General features: G+C 40.9%; 2 long non-coding RNA genes across 6 annotated transcripts in view; one reads left to right on the forward strand and one right to left on the reverse strand.

Moving 5' to 3' along the window:
* LINC02359 (long intergenic non-protein coding RNA 2359) overlaps nucleotides 1–18,077 on the forward strand; it is an 82,665-nt gene that overhangs the window by 16,450 nt on the left and 48,138 nt on the right. For 3 of the 4 annotated variants that reach the window (NR_186740.1, NR_186741.1, NR_186739.1), the window contains one exon: nucleotides 499–633. The exons of the other annotated variant lie outside the window; for it this stretch is intronic. This is a non-coding gene — a long non-coding RNA (long intergenic non-protein coding RNA 2359). The remainder of the gene's footprint in view (nucleotides 1–498; nucleotides 634–18,077) is intronic. 4 annotated transcript variants of the gene reach the window in all.
* Nucleotides 25–18,077, reverse strand: part of LOC107984447 (uncharacterized) — a 55,612-nt gene continuing 37,559 nt past the window's right edge. The window contains exons 3-4 of one of the 2 annotated variants that reach the window (XR_001749374.2): nucleotides 1,487–1,523; nucleotides 25–176 (exon numbers count right to left, since the gene is read on the reverse strand). This is a non-coding gene — a long non-coding RNA (uncharacterized LOC107984447). Of the gene's footprint in view, nucleotides 177–1,483; nucleotides 1,524–18,077 lie in introns of those variants that run through there. The other variant, XR_001749373.2, reaches the window with a different exon arrangement.

An 18,077-nucleotide genomic window follows, 5' to 3' on the forward strand; every position in this document is an offset into this window, starting at 1 on the left:
GGGAAACTACGAGGAGAACCTGAATTAAAAGATGATAACATCTCAGAATGTTATTTTAGGCACAGATACATGAAAACATTTCAACAGAATTTTTATTATCTGCCCACACATTAAAGTCTCAGGTGCCTTAAATTCACTTTTATGTGAAAAGTTACTTCCGTGGCTTGTTTTTCCATCTATGAAAAGAAGTAAACAAATTTGCCTGTTGACTACTCTGGTGTCTGGGCTTATGGGCAACTCTGAGGATTCTTTGATAGGATTCTCTCTCCCTCCCTTGATCCCTCCCTTGTTCTTTCCTTCCTTCTCTTCCTCCTTCTCTTCCTCCCATCTTCCTCTCTCCACCCTTCCTCCCCTCCCCTCTGTCTCCCTATTTCTTTCTTTTGCTGCTGTTATTTGATATTCATCAAGAACCAGCAATGCTGTTATGAATGTACAAAATAGATTCTTCCAAATGGCCTTCTTCCCCTAAGAGATGATAGATTGCTTTTCGCTCCACAGTGCAAATCAGAAATTGAAATAAATGAAGCACGTCTTGAGCAGTGTCATGGCAAAGGAGTCTGGCTTGTAGAATGTCTGTCTCTGGAAATTTGGAGAGCTGGGAGCAGGAGATGTGATCGTGGTTCACAACTGCAGGTGAGGCTGGGGCAGCTCTCCCAGGCCTGAAGCATATGCAGGGTTTTCTCTCCTAATAGCAGCATCCTGACTTCCCTATATGCTTTTTGAATTGGTTTTGCACATTCTTCCCCCAAATTCACATTTTGACTGGTCAGGTATAAACAAGTCAATTCACAGATTCAGGGAAGTTTTAGAGAATGGAAGGGAAGGACACATTTTCACTGGAAATTATCAAGCCATTATATTTCCCAGATGTTTACTGAAAACAATGGCATAATTATAGATGCAAGATCAGTTTTCGTTGGATGTACTGTGTGTCCAAAAGAGACCATAAATTCAACAGTAGTGGAAGGGAACATCCCAGGACACAGTACAGCCAAATCAACTGCACAGTCATTTTCTCTACGATCAATGTGACTAGGTTGCAATCCCAGAAATGTTTTCAACTCCTGCAATATTTATGGGGATATGGGAGCAGCTATGTCCTTGTTTCTTTGAAATCAGTAAGTAAAGATCTGAGACGTTTATACTACCTGAAGAAATCGAGGTCTGTCACTAAAGTCAATTCTTAGGGGTTTCCATTCTCTCATTTAGGGTAAAGTTCTATGCTGTAGTAAATGCACCTCAAGATATGTAATGGTTAGAGCCCCATAGAAGTTCATTTTTCACTCATTGAAAGTCCAGTCTGGTCATTTTTGTTGATGGGTGAGTAGATCCACCAAGAACTAATTCAAGAACCTAGGCTTTTTCCATCCTGTGACTTCTCCATCTTTAACAAGCATCTTCTGATTTGCAGCAACAAAGCATGCAGGACTACCCATGAGACGTTTTATAGGTCAGGCTGGGAGGTGGTGATATGGCTTCTACTCACCTTTCTCAGTTAAGTCCTAGTCCCTCTGCAAGGGAGGCTGTAAATAGAGTATAACTGTGAGCTTGAGAAGAAAAGGAAAGAGGTTCAGTAAATAGCTATTCACCAGATAACTGAATAGCTAGCTAGCTTGTCTTTGCTGTTACAGCCTTTAAAAAAAAATCATGCACAATGTCTTCCGGTTTAATTAGGGGATGATTTTAAACTTTCAAAGAGACAAGGGAGAGGCATAAATATCTGCAGCCTTGTTTCTATCTGGGTTATGTTATTGAAAACCACAAAGAGAAAGCTCTGTTCATCATCAGGTTTAGTCATAAGTCATTCTCTATAGCAAGAAAGTTATAAATGCTGCATAGAAGAACACACCCATTTTGTTCTCTTAAGATGAGAAAGAAAAGAATATGTAAAATATTTGAAAAAATTAAACTGATACACCAAGTATCTTTCAAGGCTGGGTTTTCTGTTACTGCCTTTTCTTTATTCTACAATTATGGAAAGCATATTCTTTAAGACAAAGACAATCTCTCCATTGACAAATATGTTAGGAAAGTTCAAATCTTCAACAGGCCCAACACTGGTGGTGATTCAGAGGGGCTATGCAGCATTTGTATCATTACTGTAATAGCATATTATCATAAGCATGAAACAGAAAACTTACCTACTGTGTGCTGGGCACTGTGTCAAGTACTTCACCTGCAATAATCCTAAAGATCCTACAAACAACCCTATGAGCTAGGTGTTTTTATTATACCTAAGCCACAGATGAAATAATATAAGATGCAGTGAAGTTAAGAAAATTGGCTGAGTTCACATGACTTGCTAAAGAAGCAGAAATAGGACTTAAAATTGCCACCTGCCTACTCGCATCCCTGGCAGACCAGATGCCCACTGACATGGCTTTTGGTTTCTATAGCACATATCACTTCTAAGATATGTTAACATTCTATTGTCTTCTCTAATAAATTGTAAATTCCACACTGACAGAGACCTGGTTTGTTCACTTTTGTATCTCAAACACAAACAGTGCCTAGCACATACCAATTCTGTAAATATGTAGGAATGCAGAAATGAATGCAACCTAATCCTAGGAGATTTTCCTTTCATATCTTTTCTCTTTCTTTACATTTTGCCTTGACTTTCTGAGTTTTCCCATATCCTTCCATTATGTTGCTTTTCTAAGAAAGTTATAATCACTTCCTGTTTATTGTAACCGGAGACTCAGAGTGATACTGAAAAATGCATTAGTTAAATATTGTTTAAATTATTGGGAGTTGCAAACAAAGTCACTCTCTGTCCTCCTTATTTACAGATACTGTGTTTGAAAATGTACTTGCTAAAATGTACTTGTAATTCCAAAATCAATGTTCCTGGTGGTTTTATGCTCATTTTTGAACATACACGGAACAGAAAAAAAAATTAAGTTTTCACCTTAGATGGAACAAGGTGACACTCTGCTTTCTTGTTTCAGCCCTCATACCATAAACAAGTGTCCTTTTTGTAGTCTATTTAGTGCCAGACTCTTTGCATTTTTGTGTTTCTTTCATGGATGATTTTGCTGTTTAACATGGACTGCAAGCATAGTGCTGAAGTCTTGTCTACCACAAGAAGGCAATGTGAGGTACCTGATGGAGAAAATGCAAAGATGCTTCATTCAGGCATGAGTGACAGACAGCAGGGCTGGCCATGAGTTCAATGTTAATGAGTTGGTGCTATGTATTAAATAAGGTGTCTTTAAACAGAAACACATGTAAGATGAGGTTATGTATTCATTGATGGATAAGAAGGTTGTGACAAGAGGCTTGAAGAAATTTATCTCATTTCTCCTAGAAAATGTTCAGTACTTGATAATTCCGTGTCCAAGGTGACTCTATAGAACATAATTAATGTGGGATGGGGAAAAATTGGTCAATGAATACAAATTATTTGTTAGATAAAAGGAAAAAGTTCAGGAGAACTATTGTATAACATAGTGACTATAGTTCACAACAATGTATGGTATTCTTGAAAATTGCTAAGAAAGTAGATTTCAAGTGTTTTTACCACAAAAAATAAGTATGGAGCAATACATACATTAATTAGCTTGATTTATTTCTACAAAGTATGGTATGCATATTTCAAAATACAAGGCTGTATATCATCAATATATACAGTTTTTATTTGTCAACTAAAAAATTTAAAAAAGAAAAAAGAAAATAACTGCTGCAGATAACAAGAATTTATTTCTACTTGGGAAAACCGTGATTATAGATTATCCTTAATGTTTCTCCATCTTTGCAGATTTTTTTATGTAAAGAAATAGAAAGTCATCAGGGTTAAAATTTGTCTCCACTTTCTATGATAGAATCATCTTTTCAAAACATTGACTATTGTTTCAGAGATGGCTTAATTAACAGTGTTACAAGGAAGTTATTAAAGGTAATGTGTATTTCCAGGTTTGTGCATAGGGTAACTTGCCTTGTTCTTGGCTGCCTGCGATATTTATTGTTCTTGGTCTGTTGGCATTTTTATGATGCTGTGATTCAAATTTTATAGCTGTTTTACTGGGCTAATTTTCCATGCTGCATTTCATCAGCCCATCTCAGACACCCATCAAGTTAACTCCCCTCCCTTCTGCATGACTTGATGCTGTGAACTGCACCTCCCCGTCATCCAGAAATCTTGTGGGCACACTGTGCTTTGCAGCAGTCTGGAAACAGAGGTCAGGGAAGAGAAACATGCGACACAAAACGTTTCCCAAAACCTTTTCTCACGGAATGCCTAGGAGGTGAGGAGAGCTCCCTTTTCCATCAAACATTTCTAACTGTTGTAAGAGCTGTAAAGAGTAGCTATAAAATTAATGAGATAAGTGTTAAATTATGCACCAGATCTCCACTGTGATAAATTAACATGGCCAAATTAATAGTTTCCTCTCTCCTGATAAGATCTCATCTTGATGTGGCCTAGGTTGAGGGGAGCTTTGCATTTAGGTAGGGATGCAATAAAGAGATTGTGGCATTTAGTTCCCCAATGTGTCTCTTGATTTGAAGACTGGTGATACCACATCTTTCTCAATGACCCCAACCATAATGAGCTAATTTATTTTTTCAATAACACTCTATTGTTGTTGACTATTACTGTGCAGATACAACAGGCTGTGCTGTGCTTCTTCCTTTGAATACCTCAAATTCCATTTTCTTGGTTTTCAAATCCTGAAAGCGGAGAGTTGTGAGCTGGGAACATTATCCCTCTATGACTGGATGTGCGGAATTTGAATCAGAATGACCCAATGAGCTTGGAACTGGGCCCCTCCTAAGACATGGGGCTTTCAGTGCTAAAGCTGAAAAAGTCCCAGGCAAACTGGGAGGAGCTGGACACCCTGTGAACCATCCCCTCGCAGTGTGTCTGACTACGGTACCCAGTCTTTCCCACTGCAAGTGAGGGAGTGGAGTTTTGAGAACACCAGAGAACACATTTCAATCTTATTTTAAACTTAGGTACACTGCGGGAAAAATTGTGATCGAAATTTTTTTTAAAAGAATGAACAACCTCCCCCTACATCTCACTCTGCAACATCCACTTCCATCTTCACCTCCTTACTTCAGATTCCCTTTTTACTTAATTTGTTCAACAATCATTTATTGAGTACTGCCTACTGTGTACAAGCCAAGTACTAACCGGTGTCATGCCTGCATGCCAGGATAGATCATGCACATGCTCACTCTCTCTCTCTCTTTTTTCTTTCCTCTCTCTCTTTCCATATCTGTCTCCATTTCTCTCATTCTTTCTGTGTGTATTAGGTACACATTCTCAGTCTGCCTAATCAACTTAACATTTATTTCTAGCCCTGTTTAGTCAGATGGCACAAAGCATCAGCTCACCAATTCTAACTTATTTCAAAAAATATGCATTACACTCAATTAATTTGTAATTCCATCCTCCTCTTTTTCATGGAGTTGAGTCTGAGCACCAGGAGGCTCACACAGGACTGTCGTGGGCACATAAGTAGTTCTCAGCTCTTCTCTGTCTGACGCTGGTGTCCACAGAGATGGTTTTCCTGTCTGACTTCTTTTCCTCCTTAACCTTCTCTGATAAGTTTGCATTCCCAGCTGGTCCCCCAATATGAGATTTGCCACATATCCATAATGGTGCACCCTGAACCCAGTCACGAGGCCCATCCTTGTCCTCCAGTGCTGCTGGCTCAAAAGACTGTTTGGCTTCTCCATTCACTGGGGAAACACTGAACTGGGTGGTCCTTTCAGGCCTCTGTGCCTTGAATTCACATGGGGCCATCTTTAGTCTACTCTCTTAAACCAAGGTGGCACGAGGAACTCTATGGCAACTGGATAAGAAAAGAGATCCAGGTCTCTTCTATTCCAGATCTCCCAAACCATCTGGAAGACCTATGACTCCATTATCACCACTTAGGACCAAGACCAGTGGGTGGCAACGATGTACTTTCCCTTGCTTTCCCTCCAGACACATTCTACCCTCAAGTACATGGGGGTGTTTATTAGAGGAAAACTAGAAGAGTCCATTCTGATAGATTATACACACACACACACACACACACACACACACACATATTTATATACATAATTTTTTATTTTTTGAGACAGGGTCTCATAGTGTTGCCCAGGCTGGAGCCCAGTGGCATGATCTTGGTTCACTGCAGCCTGGACCTCCCGGGCTCAAGCAATCTTCCTACCTCTGTTTCCTGGTGTGTGCCACTAGACCAAGCTAATATTTGTATTTTTTGTAAAGAAGGGATTTCGCCATGTTGTCCAGCCTGGTCTTGAACTCTTGGGCTCAAACGATCAGCTGGTCTTGGCCTCCCAAAGTGCTGAGATTTCAGGCATGAGCCCCTGTGCCCAGCCAGATCATATATGTTCTCTGCCTATTGTTTAGGTCAAATTTTAAGGTTAAAGTTAAATCAATCCACTAAAACACCAAGTAGGTTCAAAGGATACAAATCTCCTTAAGAGCAGTCGCTCTCTTGGGTTTCAGTATTCTATTGTGAAAGCCCAAAGCTCAGAATGGATTTACTTACTTTTCTTTTTGGCTTGGTTTTGGTCCTACCTTGGGTAATATGACGGGAATGTCCTAGCTTCTAGGGTTGGAGATAAGTGTGGGTAGGAGGAAGAGTGAGAAAATTCACAGCTTGTTTAATATTTGGTCATATTATCCTGATACATGGCATGTTTGTGTCTGTAAATAGACCTTGACCTTTTGGATGTCAGAATGTTTCCTTTACTAACTTTCATCCCATCCCCAGGACCACATACAAAGTTGTTCTGTTCTTGGTCTGGCCTGGGGCTTGGTTGACTTCAGCATGGCCCCTCCGGGACAGAAGATGGTGTACTGAAAAATGATTAATAAACCTAGAGAGAGAAAAAAACCAAAGCTTCTCCCAGGAAATCAACCAGATATAAATAAGCCTCTTCCTTCCCTAGTAAATGTTAATATTTAAATATTTACTTCAAACAAATACATTTAAATAAAACTTCTGCCAAAGTTAAATCAATCCACTAAAACACACTTAAGAAACTAAAAGTGTAAAATCTGAAGGTCATGCATTCAGTCTGAGACTGACTTGTGCTGGGGAAATTAAAGAGGTAAACCAACAAAACTGTCTTCCATACCAGCGTGAGAGGACACACAGTTCAGCAATGAGTAAGCATTACACATGGACATGGATGCGAACGTGGCTCAACAGTGTCAATGAAGCCTGGAAAGAATTTCATATGTATTTATGAAATGGAAGAAAGAAAAATTAAAGCCTCTCTTATCTTCTTGAATGATAAATGGATGCCTCTGTGATTGTCTCCTTGTGTTTGTATCTTGTGAGAGATCACTGAGCTAATTCTGAAGCAGAGTGGGCCAGAAAGCTCATGACCTTGTTTTGCAAAATCAAAATGCCAGACTTTTAAAACTGTATTTATTTTTATTTTTTAGAGACAGTGTGTCCTATGTTGCGTAGGCAGGAGTGTAGTAGGGCGATCATAGCTTACTGCAGTCTTGACCTGGGCTCAAGTGATCCTCCCACCTCAGCCTCCTGAGTAGCTAGGACCACAGGTGCATGACACTATGCCTGGCTAATTTTTTATTTTATTTTATTTTTTGCAGAGGCAGGGTCTCCCTATGTTGCTCAGGATGGTCTCAAACTCCAAGGTCCAAAGGATCCTTTGGCCTCAGCCTCTCAAATATCCTTTTTTTTTTTTTTTTTTTGAAATGGGATATCAATCTGTGGCCCAGCCTGGAGTGCAGTGATGTGATCTCAGCTCACTGTAGCCTCCATCTCCTGGATTCAAGTGATTCTCCTGCCTCAGTCCCCCGAGTAGCTGGGATTACAGGTGCCTGCTACCATGCCCAGCTAATTTTTGCATTTTTTAGTAGAGACAGAGTTTCACCATGTTGGCCAGGCTGGTCTTGAACTCCTGACCTCAAGTGATCTACCCGCCTCAGCCTCCCAAAGTGCTGGGATTACAGGCATGAGCCACTGTGGCTGGCCCCTTCTTTTTATTAAACAAAGCAAGCTCGATCATCTTACTCGTAGCCTTTGAAAGCTTGACTATTTTCCCTTACGGTTGAAATCAGATGAAAATCATCCCTATGTGAGGGAAGTGGTTCTTTTCCTACGCACAGGCAGCCCATCATGGTTTACAAGATCTTTTTTACATTAATTAACACAAACAATCCTCACAACAGCCTGCGTGGTGAGCAGAGCAAGAATGATTGTTTCCACTTTTCAGGGCAGAGAGACTAGTCCCAGAAAAGTTAAAGAGGTCACCTGGGGATGCTCAGTTGTCACGTGATGGAGGAAGAGAGGCAGTACGAGGCTTACAGTGCTATCACCTTGTGCACCTGTGTCCTCTTCATTCTGTCTGAGGAAAGCTGTTTCCAGAAGATTCCTCAGGGCTCCTTCAGCAGCTGAGAGCCTGGGAAACCAGCAGAGTCAGCCATTCTTCTCCTTACTCTATGCAGAGGACTCCAGGGAAGAGTCAGGGAGCACCTGGGGCTCTGACCTCTGCATTGTAAGTCCCCAGGTTGGCCCCATAGACTGGGTTAGCATGTGTTCTCCTTTCCCAGGACTTTCAGCCTCATGCTGCATGTCTTGTGGATGTTGTGCTAGGTTTTCATGTGATTAACAAGATTTATTTCAAAACTAAGTATTTTGGGGCTGGACATGGTGGCTCACACCTGTAATCCCAGCACTTTGGAAGGCCGAGGCGGGTAGATCACTTGAGGTCAGGAGTTGGAGACCAACCTGGCCAACAGAAGGAAACCCTGTGTCTACTAAAATATAAAAACTAGCCAGGTGTGGTGGCACATGCCTGTAATCCCAGCTACTTGGGAAGCTGAGGCATGAGAATCACTTGAACCTGGGAGGCGGAGGTTGCAGTGAGTGGAGATCACGCCACTGCACTCCAGCCTGGGGGACAGAGCGAGACTCCATCTCAAAAAAAAAAAAAAAAAAAAAAAGGACAGCATTTTTGAACTAAGCCTGTATAAATGCTTCAGTGTGCATTTCTTTTCCAGATGCAAGTTATTTCTTTACATTTTTACAGTTTAAAAATGGTTACAACATCTGCTGTTTGCTTATTAAAATGGGACCATAATATATAAATTTGTAATTTAAAAATGTCTCTAATGGTTTTATTCCCCTCCCGCCCCGTCATCCCAAAGTATTTACAATTTGGAATTTATCTTTTTAGAGTTGTTTGTGAACACTTGCAGGTGTCTGTATGTGGTCAAATACACTTATCTATAACTTACTTTTTTCACGTAATGTTTCTTGTGCATCTTTGCGTATGGGTTCACCTAAACCTACTACATTATTTTAAAGACTGCAATGCATCCCATTTAATTTAACTCACCCCTGATGATGTACATTTTTGGTGAGCCCATTTTTCTTACTCTCAATGGTGTTCCATTTTACATGCTTTTTTTTTTTTACATTTTTGTCCAAATATTGCTGTAGAATACATTTATAGAAGAATAATTTTGAGTTCAAGTAATATAACAATTATATATATTAATTTCATAAATATTCATATTCATCAATTATACATATATGTTTATATATGTATGTATATATATAAGAATTATATATATAAAACAATTATATATATATATATATAGTCCATGCCATTCAGAGTGTTACACATGAGAGAGCATGTAATTAGGTGGGTTCTCCATGACCCCCAGCTGCTGGACTGGCACCTGAGTCAAACTTTCAGATCTACACAGTGCAGGGCCTTCTTTTCAAATTGGAACAACCTCCTTATGAGTTAGTGAGTGAATGATTACTACAGAGGAGAAGCAGAGGCTATATCAGACTATATATATTCATAATTTTTGACCTCCAAATAATGGTAGTTAGAATCCCATCAATGACACCTTCCTCCATCTGGTTGAAAATGATCATTCAGGTCTATTTTTGTGTATGCCAATTGCACTTTAAGTGATGAAGACCCTTTCCAGTGCGGTTCACAATCTGCACGTCACCTGCTCCTGGCATCGTCACCAGCCCTTCATGCTGCAGCCCCTCCTTCCCACATCTCTGTTCATACAGTACCCATCTATCTTTATATAATCAAACTTCCTGTGTATTTTACTTCTCTCTTCCCACCCTTGCCCACGTCGGTACCCATGTCCTACTCATCTCCCAGGCATCTTCTCAGGAACCTTTTCTTCATCATCTACAGTAAGCAATGTGCCTCCATAATGCACCCCCATAATGCCCATGTTTTGTAGAGCCCAGTGCATCTGAATTGATTTGCTTAACCTAGTGCATCTGCATTGATTTGCTGTACACTCCCATGGGGGCAGAAGCCACTTCTGATGGACTAGGATTAGACCAGTCTATGCCCATCCCTCACATAATCAATATGAAGAGGGGAGGAATAGATGGGGGAAAAGGGCCTTGGTCTTATGAATGGTCTTAAAGACAGGAATGGGGCAGAAATAAATGTGGTCCCCACTGCCCACAGATTGAGCAAGAGGAAGGATCTTTCAGATAAAGACAGCTAATTTTTCTTTGAACTTCTCTTTGAGAATGGTTCCTCAAAGAAAAATTAGCTGCCTGTATCTGAAAAAGGAGTGATTTCTGATTGCCAAAAACAGCAGGTGAGCTCAACATGGTCTAATTTTGTTTTTCCTTTGCATATAATTTTTGCTATTTTATGAATTTGTGGATCTAGAAATTGGCACTGTCTGCAACTGGCACTAAACTGGGCACTTAATACAGTGTGATTATTTAGAAGCCCGTTGTGCTCTGCTTCCTTTGGGTGTCTCCATGGTGGAAGCTGTAAAAGGAATCCCAGGATATGGAGAGGAGGACAAGGAAGGACTCTAAACTGTGAGCTCTGTGGCTTGTGAACTTATTCTAGGTGATGCATCAAAGAAACCCTCAGTCGCGGCCAGTCATGGTGGCTCATGCCTGTAATCCCAGCAGTTTGGGAGGCTGAGGCAGGTGGATCACAAGGTCAGGAGTTCGAGACCCGCCTGGCCAATATGGTGAAACCCTGTCTGTACTAAAAATACAACAACAACAAAAAAATTAGCCGGGCGTGGTGGTGGGCACCTGTAGTTCCAGGTACTCAGGAGGCTGAGGCAGGAGAATCGCTTGAACTGGGAAGGCGGAGGTTGCAGTGAGCCGAGATGGCGCCACTGCATTCCAGCCTGGGCAACAGAGCGAGACTCCGTTTCAAAAAAAAAAAAAAAAAATAGAACCCTCAGTCGCAACCATTGTCCCATTCCCTGGTCACAATGAGTGAGAGTCAGAAGGCACATTAGATGGTCACCCCCTCATCCAATGCTGAGATTTCCCCCACTTTGGTGGCTTCAAGTAGACTTGGAAGAAATAAGAAATACAAAAATGAGGTTTAAGTTCTATTCTGTGCTTAAAGATTTCCACAACACAAATTGATATGTTCACAAAAACACACCTACAAGGCAATGTGACTTATTTGTGTCATCCACACGATAATGTCACACCAGAATAATGATAGGATGTGTATGTGAGGACATACCCTGCAGAGGCCACTGAAGGTAATGTGTGTTGGGAACAGGTGTGTAATGATGTCTGATGAACTAGTTTTCATCCTTCCAGTGTCTCTCATTGACTTCATTCACGTTCAGAAGCAACCTTAAAAGTTTGAGTTTTCTGAAATTTTTGAATATAAGTGCCCACTTAAAGAGCAGACAGAGAAAGATCCTCCGAAGATAAAGAGTTTATCATTGAGTGCACAGGGGATTTGTAAGCCCAGGACTTGCAGGGTATGGGGACCAAGGGCATGTCCAAAGAGGTTGAGGTGAGAAAAAGCTTTTAAAGGAAAAGGGAAAACATACACATAATTTGTTCTGAAACAGAGAGGAACATTGGTTACAGGGGCTATTCCAGGAGTTGAGGCCAGTTCATTAGTGGAGACAGTGTGGCAGGCAGGTGTTCTTGTACATCTGACTAGATGTCCTTGTGACTCAGGTAGCAAGCTGCAGTTTGAAAAGTTCTTGATAAAGTTCTTGTTACAGGCATATGTGGGTAAGAGCCCTTCAGAGTCTTTGTAAAAGTTCTTACCATAGGCATGTGTGCATGAGGTCATTTCCTTTCCTTTTCCTTCCTTCCTTCCCTCCTTCCTTCTTTCAGTTTGACACAAGTTGCTCCATTTTGATTCTGACAGCTTTCACATTAGTTACCAGCCAACAAGCCTTTCTGATCTCCTAGGGTAAAGATTGATCTAGCCTCTGCTTCTCCTCCGCAGTAATTATCTGTTCACTCCCTCATAAGGAGGTTGTTCCAATTTGGAAAGAAAGCTCTCCACTGTACAGATCTGAAAGTTTGATTTGGGTGCTAGTCCAGCAGCTGGGGTCATGAAGCACCCACCTAATCACATGCCCTCTCATGTGTAACACTCTGAAAGACATGGACCATCTGGCCATCGTCCACTATGGTGGACATTTATTGCTTGTTGAGAGCCTCAACAGCTGTACTCTCCTCTAGTAACAGACCCTTTTCTGGGGGAAATATGCCTCCCTTACTCTTAGTGGTGCGGGGTTTTCTCACCTCATTCTAGGGAAAGATCATATGAACCTCTCCTGGCCAATCAGAAACTCAAATTCCTTGAGCTCAGCAATTGGTTTATAAATGGATGCTTCATAATAATTCATTTGGGATTAAAGGGAAGGAAAGTCCATGTGGAAATGTGAAAAGTGAGATACCCTCTTCTCCAAGAATCTAGAACAGGTAGAGCTATAAGGTTGCAACCATTGCAGTCATGGTGGCTTCTCAGTGGATGAAACCAACATGAAGAAAAGGAACCAAGAAATGGAAAAAGAGGAGAACCCAAGTCTCCTGGATCAAGCCACACCTGAAAGGAACCCTACCCCTAAACATTTCAGTTATTTCAGACAGTACATGACCTTCACGCTTAAGCTAGCTTGAATTGGATTTTTATGACTTATATCCAAGAGAACTTTGATGAATCTTTTTGCCTTGCTTCCCTCCCTCTCAACACTTGTGCTGTAACTTTTGTGTACAACCAATATTACAGCAAAGAATGCTGCCAACAACAGCAACTCAGGTATCAGTTCTAATTGTGTGTGGGCCCATTTGCTCACTTGGGTCAGCCACGTGTCAGTGATAAGCAACTCCAGGCCATTAGTTGTTCTAATATTAATGAAATATCTGATGCCACCCACTCCATACATCATGGGCCACACCAGCTTGTAAAGCACCCAGTGGCAGAGGGTGTTTCTCTTTGTTCTGCAGAATTGACCACCATCTTCCTGAAAGTCCCCAATGGGAAAGAAAATTTCTCTAAGGTATAAAGAAATCATAATAATAGCCATGATCTGGAGTTCAAACAAACTTCATAAGAAGATAATTGTTGGGAAGTGAAGGCAGGAGATTCGCTTGAGCCCAGGAGTTTGAGACCAGTCTGGCCAACATAGTGAGACCCCATCTCTACAAAGATGGTTTTTAAAAGATGATTAAATTATGAGAATAACCTTGAGAAACTGGTTATGAATAGGTATAGTTTGACCTGTATCTGGAAGAAAGTTTGTTTCTGCCCCAAGAATATGTTGTAATCTTTCCCCTGATGAAAGGAAGTATAGCAGTGTGGTGAAGAGCTGAGATCGGAAATCAGAAGAGACCTGGGTTGGCCTGCCACTTACTAGCAGTGAGTTCTTGAAAAAGTCACTCAGCCCCAAGCTACTTAACCTCTTAGAGACTCAGTATCCTTGTTCTCAAGAGTTTCTGGATGAGGAGTTATTAATTTAAGACTCACCACCTTCAAAGTTCTGTCTCATTAGTGGCCGCATTTAAACAGACCCGGATCTGCACAACCTTATTAATATTCTTACTCACATACTTCGGTCTTAAATAATACATGGTCTTGAACATTTCCCAGGTAATTTTATTTTGTATCACATATTTTATCCAAACTTCTTTAAATTATTTAATTAGAATTTAAAAAGGCAGCAATCATGCCATTTACTTTTTCTGATTTTCTTGCTCAGTGGTATCTTAAATTACTTTAGTCATTTTCATCCACAACAGAAATAAATAGAGGTTGTACATAAAATTTAGGTCATATCAAGATTTTCTGATCCAATAAAAGTGCTGCTTGTTTAAGAAATCCTTCCAGGCAATTATAAATGTGTCAAACTAATGTAAAAGTATGACATTCGAGATTGAGTCCATGGTAATCATTTGAAAGCCGTTGCAAGTGTATTATATTTATGAGAAAAATATGCTTAAGTATACATGCTCCTATGTACTCTCTAGAGCTGATGTAACCAAAATTCAATTTGAGAAAAATCTCTAGAAAATAAAGCCATTGTTTGCCAAAGAAGATTTTGAAGGAGCTCAGAAAATTAATAATAAGAATTTTGATAATATTAATTTCATTGAGTTATGGAAAAAGATGGGTGGGGGAGGCTTCCAGCTCTCAAATCCTGAGATTATGGGATATGTCAGCCCAGTCTATGAAACACTTGAGTTTTACATTCAGTATTTATGCAAGTCGGAAGAATTTGCAATATTTACAGTGGGGTTAATGAAGAAATGTTCCATGTCAGTGAATTTTGGCATGCAGGGCAGCCTGTCTTACATGGACTGTAGTGCCTTGGCCTTCAAAGGTCAGAAGTCAAGGGAATTTTGGGTTCATAATATATAGAAACAGTCATCTACTTGATCTGTTTATTGAATTTCTTATAAATATGACTGAAATAAGACAAAACCTTCTCTTCACCACTCCCTGAGAAATGGATGGTTTTCATTGTTTTTATGCCCAGCCAAACCTCACAGATTCTAATTAATCAGGAGAGGGGTGCAGGCATGGAGGAATTGTTCAAGTCCCCCAGATAATACTTATATATACCCGGGTCTGAGAACCACTTCCTATGAGAAATCCCTGTGAGCTGGGATGATATGATGGAGAAAATAGCTATGCCTTGTTTTCTCAGCAGAAAGGTGATCCTAAGAGAACAGAAGATGGGCTTTGATTCTCCTCTCAAGAACCAGGCTCACACTGTAGCTTTTCCTTCTACAAGTCTACATTTTCCTTGCTGCAGAGACTAGATAAAAAGGTTTGGTTTTCAAGAGTCTGAGTTCTTGGTGGTGGGTACAGGATGTTCCTAGGAAGAGAGGGTTCTAGGTGTTCATTTGAGGGGAGTGGCCCATTGAGAGGGTTTTCTAGGGAAGTGACTCAATTTGGAGAATAGAGGAGTTGCCATCCTTCAAACTGTCCTCCCAACGGTCCCAGTTTACCCAGGACTAAGCTGTTTTCTGGAAAGCTGAACTTTCCATGCCAAAATAAAGACAGTCCTGTGCCAACTGGTATGGTTGGCCACCCTATCTTCCATCACAAAAACAGCATCCTTAGGGAATAGAACATCACGTGCAAAAGGCCAGCATATTGGGCCCAAAGAAATTGAATGTGTTTTGATTATAAGAACAGCTTTCTATTGTGGCTCTAGGGACTTCTCCCCAGCTGGCCTCTCGATCTGGGAGTTCCTTTCTCTGAGACATGCTAAGTTGGGAGAGAGAGAGGCCTGCTGGACCAGGCGGCACAGGGCTGGGGTGCAGAGGGTGGGTGCACAGATGATGCTGGGCAGGAACCACAGTGGGGATGAGGGAGAGGGTTGGCTGTCTCTCAAGCTGAAGAAGTAGCTGCAAGACTCAGATCTGCTAAGCTGCAGACCCAATCCTGAGCATCTGAGCTGTGTTCAACTGAGACATACAGAGAATCACTTTCCCCAGGGAGAATGCTTAAACACATCACCAGGTCACCCCCTTTCCCCATCAGGTGTCAGGCAGGATGACCAAAAGTACCCATGATGGACAGATTGCAGGACTCAGGCAAGGAGCAGGAAGTGATACCTTTGCAATCATAAACTGATGCTCTGCAGTGCCATGGACATCTATATCTCATCCAAAGAGACCCTCAGCAGATCAGAAGGGCCAAGAGGTCCTGAGATGGCTATGTATGATTGTAAGATGAGGCAAACTTCCTTGGAAGGCACAGAAAGGGACAGCGAAACCTGGCAGGTGAGACCATGCAGTGATTTGGCCCTTGGTTCTATGGACCAGTGTCAAGTCAGGCTGATGCGGCCTAAGCTCCTATCCAAGTCGCGGCAGGTGGGGTCAAGAGCCCGATCCCAACCAGCTCCCTGCCCTGTGAGTCCCATCTCACAATCACCCAGCCCAGGCTCAAATCCTGCAAACAAACTACCCTAATTTCCCTTTTAAGAACTCCACTAAGATCTTTCAAGGGATTCTTCCCTGAGGTAAATCTGATGCACTTAGCTTTGCTTGATCAATACATTTTTTTGTCCTTTGCATGACTTGACAGCAATAATGAGAACTTTTTTTTTTGCTTCAGTCATTTAAATGCTTAAGATAATATGAATGCTAGGCTCAGAGAACAATTTTAAAAGAGCATAGATACAGTTACCCTAAAAGAAGGAGGAGGAGGAGCAGAGCAGTTGGGGTCCTGGCTTCTTTGATACTAGAATTCAATGGCAATTGAAGTAGAAATCAGTGAATACAGGTGAAATCAGTAAAGTCAAGTGATGAGAAATAATTGTTATTTATTTCCTCTTTATTTGGCTGCAACTTGGGGTAAAAAAGAATTTCACTGGGTTCAACTGCATCACACAGATGTTTCTTGGACCTAACTTGTTTCATATTTTTTTAGAGAAGCTACACGCTGAACATCATGGTACGTGTCTGTAATCCCTGCTACTTGGGAGGCTGAGGTGGAGGATGGCCAGGAGTTGAGCCCAGGAGGTTGAGACCAGCCTGGGTAACATAGTAAGACACCATTAAAAAAAAAGAGAGAAGAAGAAGAAACTTCAAAAATTAACCTCTGTAAGCAGAACTACCATTTGATTCAGCAATCCCACTACTGGGAATCTACCCAGAGGAAAAGAAGTCATTATATAAAAAAGATACTTGCACACGCATGTTTATAGCAGCACAATTCCCAATTGCAAAAATTTGGAACCAGCCCAAATGCCCATCAATCAACAAGTGGATAAAGAAATTGTGGCATGTAAATACAATGGAATATTACTCAGCCATAAAAAAGAATGAATTAATGGCATTTGCAGCAGCCTAAATGGAACTGGAAACTATTATTCTAAGTCAAGTAACTCAGGAATGGAAAACCAAACATTGTATGTTCTCACTTATAAGCGGGAGCCAAGCTGTGAGGATGTAAAGGGATAAGAATTATACAATGGACTTTGAGGACTTGGAAAGGATGGGAAGGTGTAAGAGACAAAAGACTACAAATTGGGTTCAGTGTGTACTGCTGGGTGATGGGTGCACCAAAATCTCACTAATCACCACTAAAGAACTCACTCATGTAACCAAATACCACCTGTTCCCCCAAAACCTATGGCAATAAAATTTTTTTAAAAATCCATTTTTAATTTTTAATTTATTTGTATTGATACATAGTAATTATACATATTATGGGGTACATGTGATATTTTGGTAATGCGAACAATGTGTAATGATCAAATCAGGGTATTTCGGGTCTCCATCGCCTTAAACATTTATCATTTCCTTGTGTTGGGAACATTTTGAATCTCTTCCAGCTATTTTGATATATACAGTAAATTACTGTTACCTATAGTTGCCCTACTCTGCTACAGAACACTAGGACTCATTAACCAACCTCTCCTCATTCCCCCACCCCTTCCCAGCCTCTAGTATCCATCACTCTACTCTCTACCTCCATGAGATCCACTTACTTTAACTCTCACATATGAATGAGAACACGCACAATTTGTCGCTCTGTGCCTGATTTATTTCAGCTAACATAATGACCTCCAGTTTCATCCATGTTGCTGCAAATGATAGGATTTAATTCTTCTTTATTTTTTTGTGACAGAATCTCACTTTGTGAGCTTTTGACTGCTGGTTCTCACCTGCTTTCAAATTTAGAAAAGGCCAAGAAATTTCAAGAGGGGTCTGAGATATCTGTCTAGGGCCCAAATTCAGCCTGACCAGTCAATTGCATGTAGTTATTTTTCACAGCTGAGTCCTGCTGACCCCTGGTGACAGTGTCACCAAACCAAACCTCCGAGATCATGTTGGATGGCT

Source organism: Homo sapiens, chromosome 12, assembly GCF_000001405.40.
Source record: "Homo sapiens chromosome 12, GRCh38.p14 Primary Assembly".
Taxonomy (NCBI): domain Eukaryota; kingdom Metazoa; phylum Chordata; class Mammalia; order Primates; family Hominidae; genus Homo; species Homo sapiens.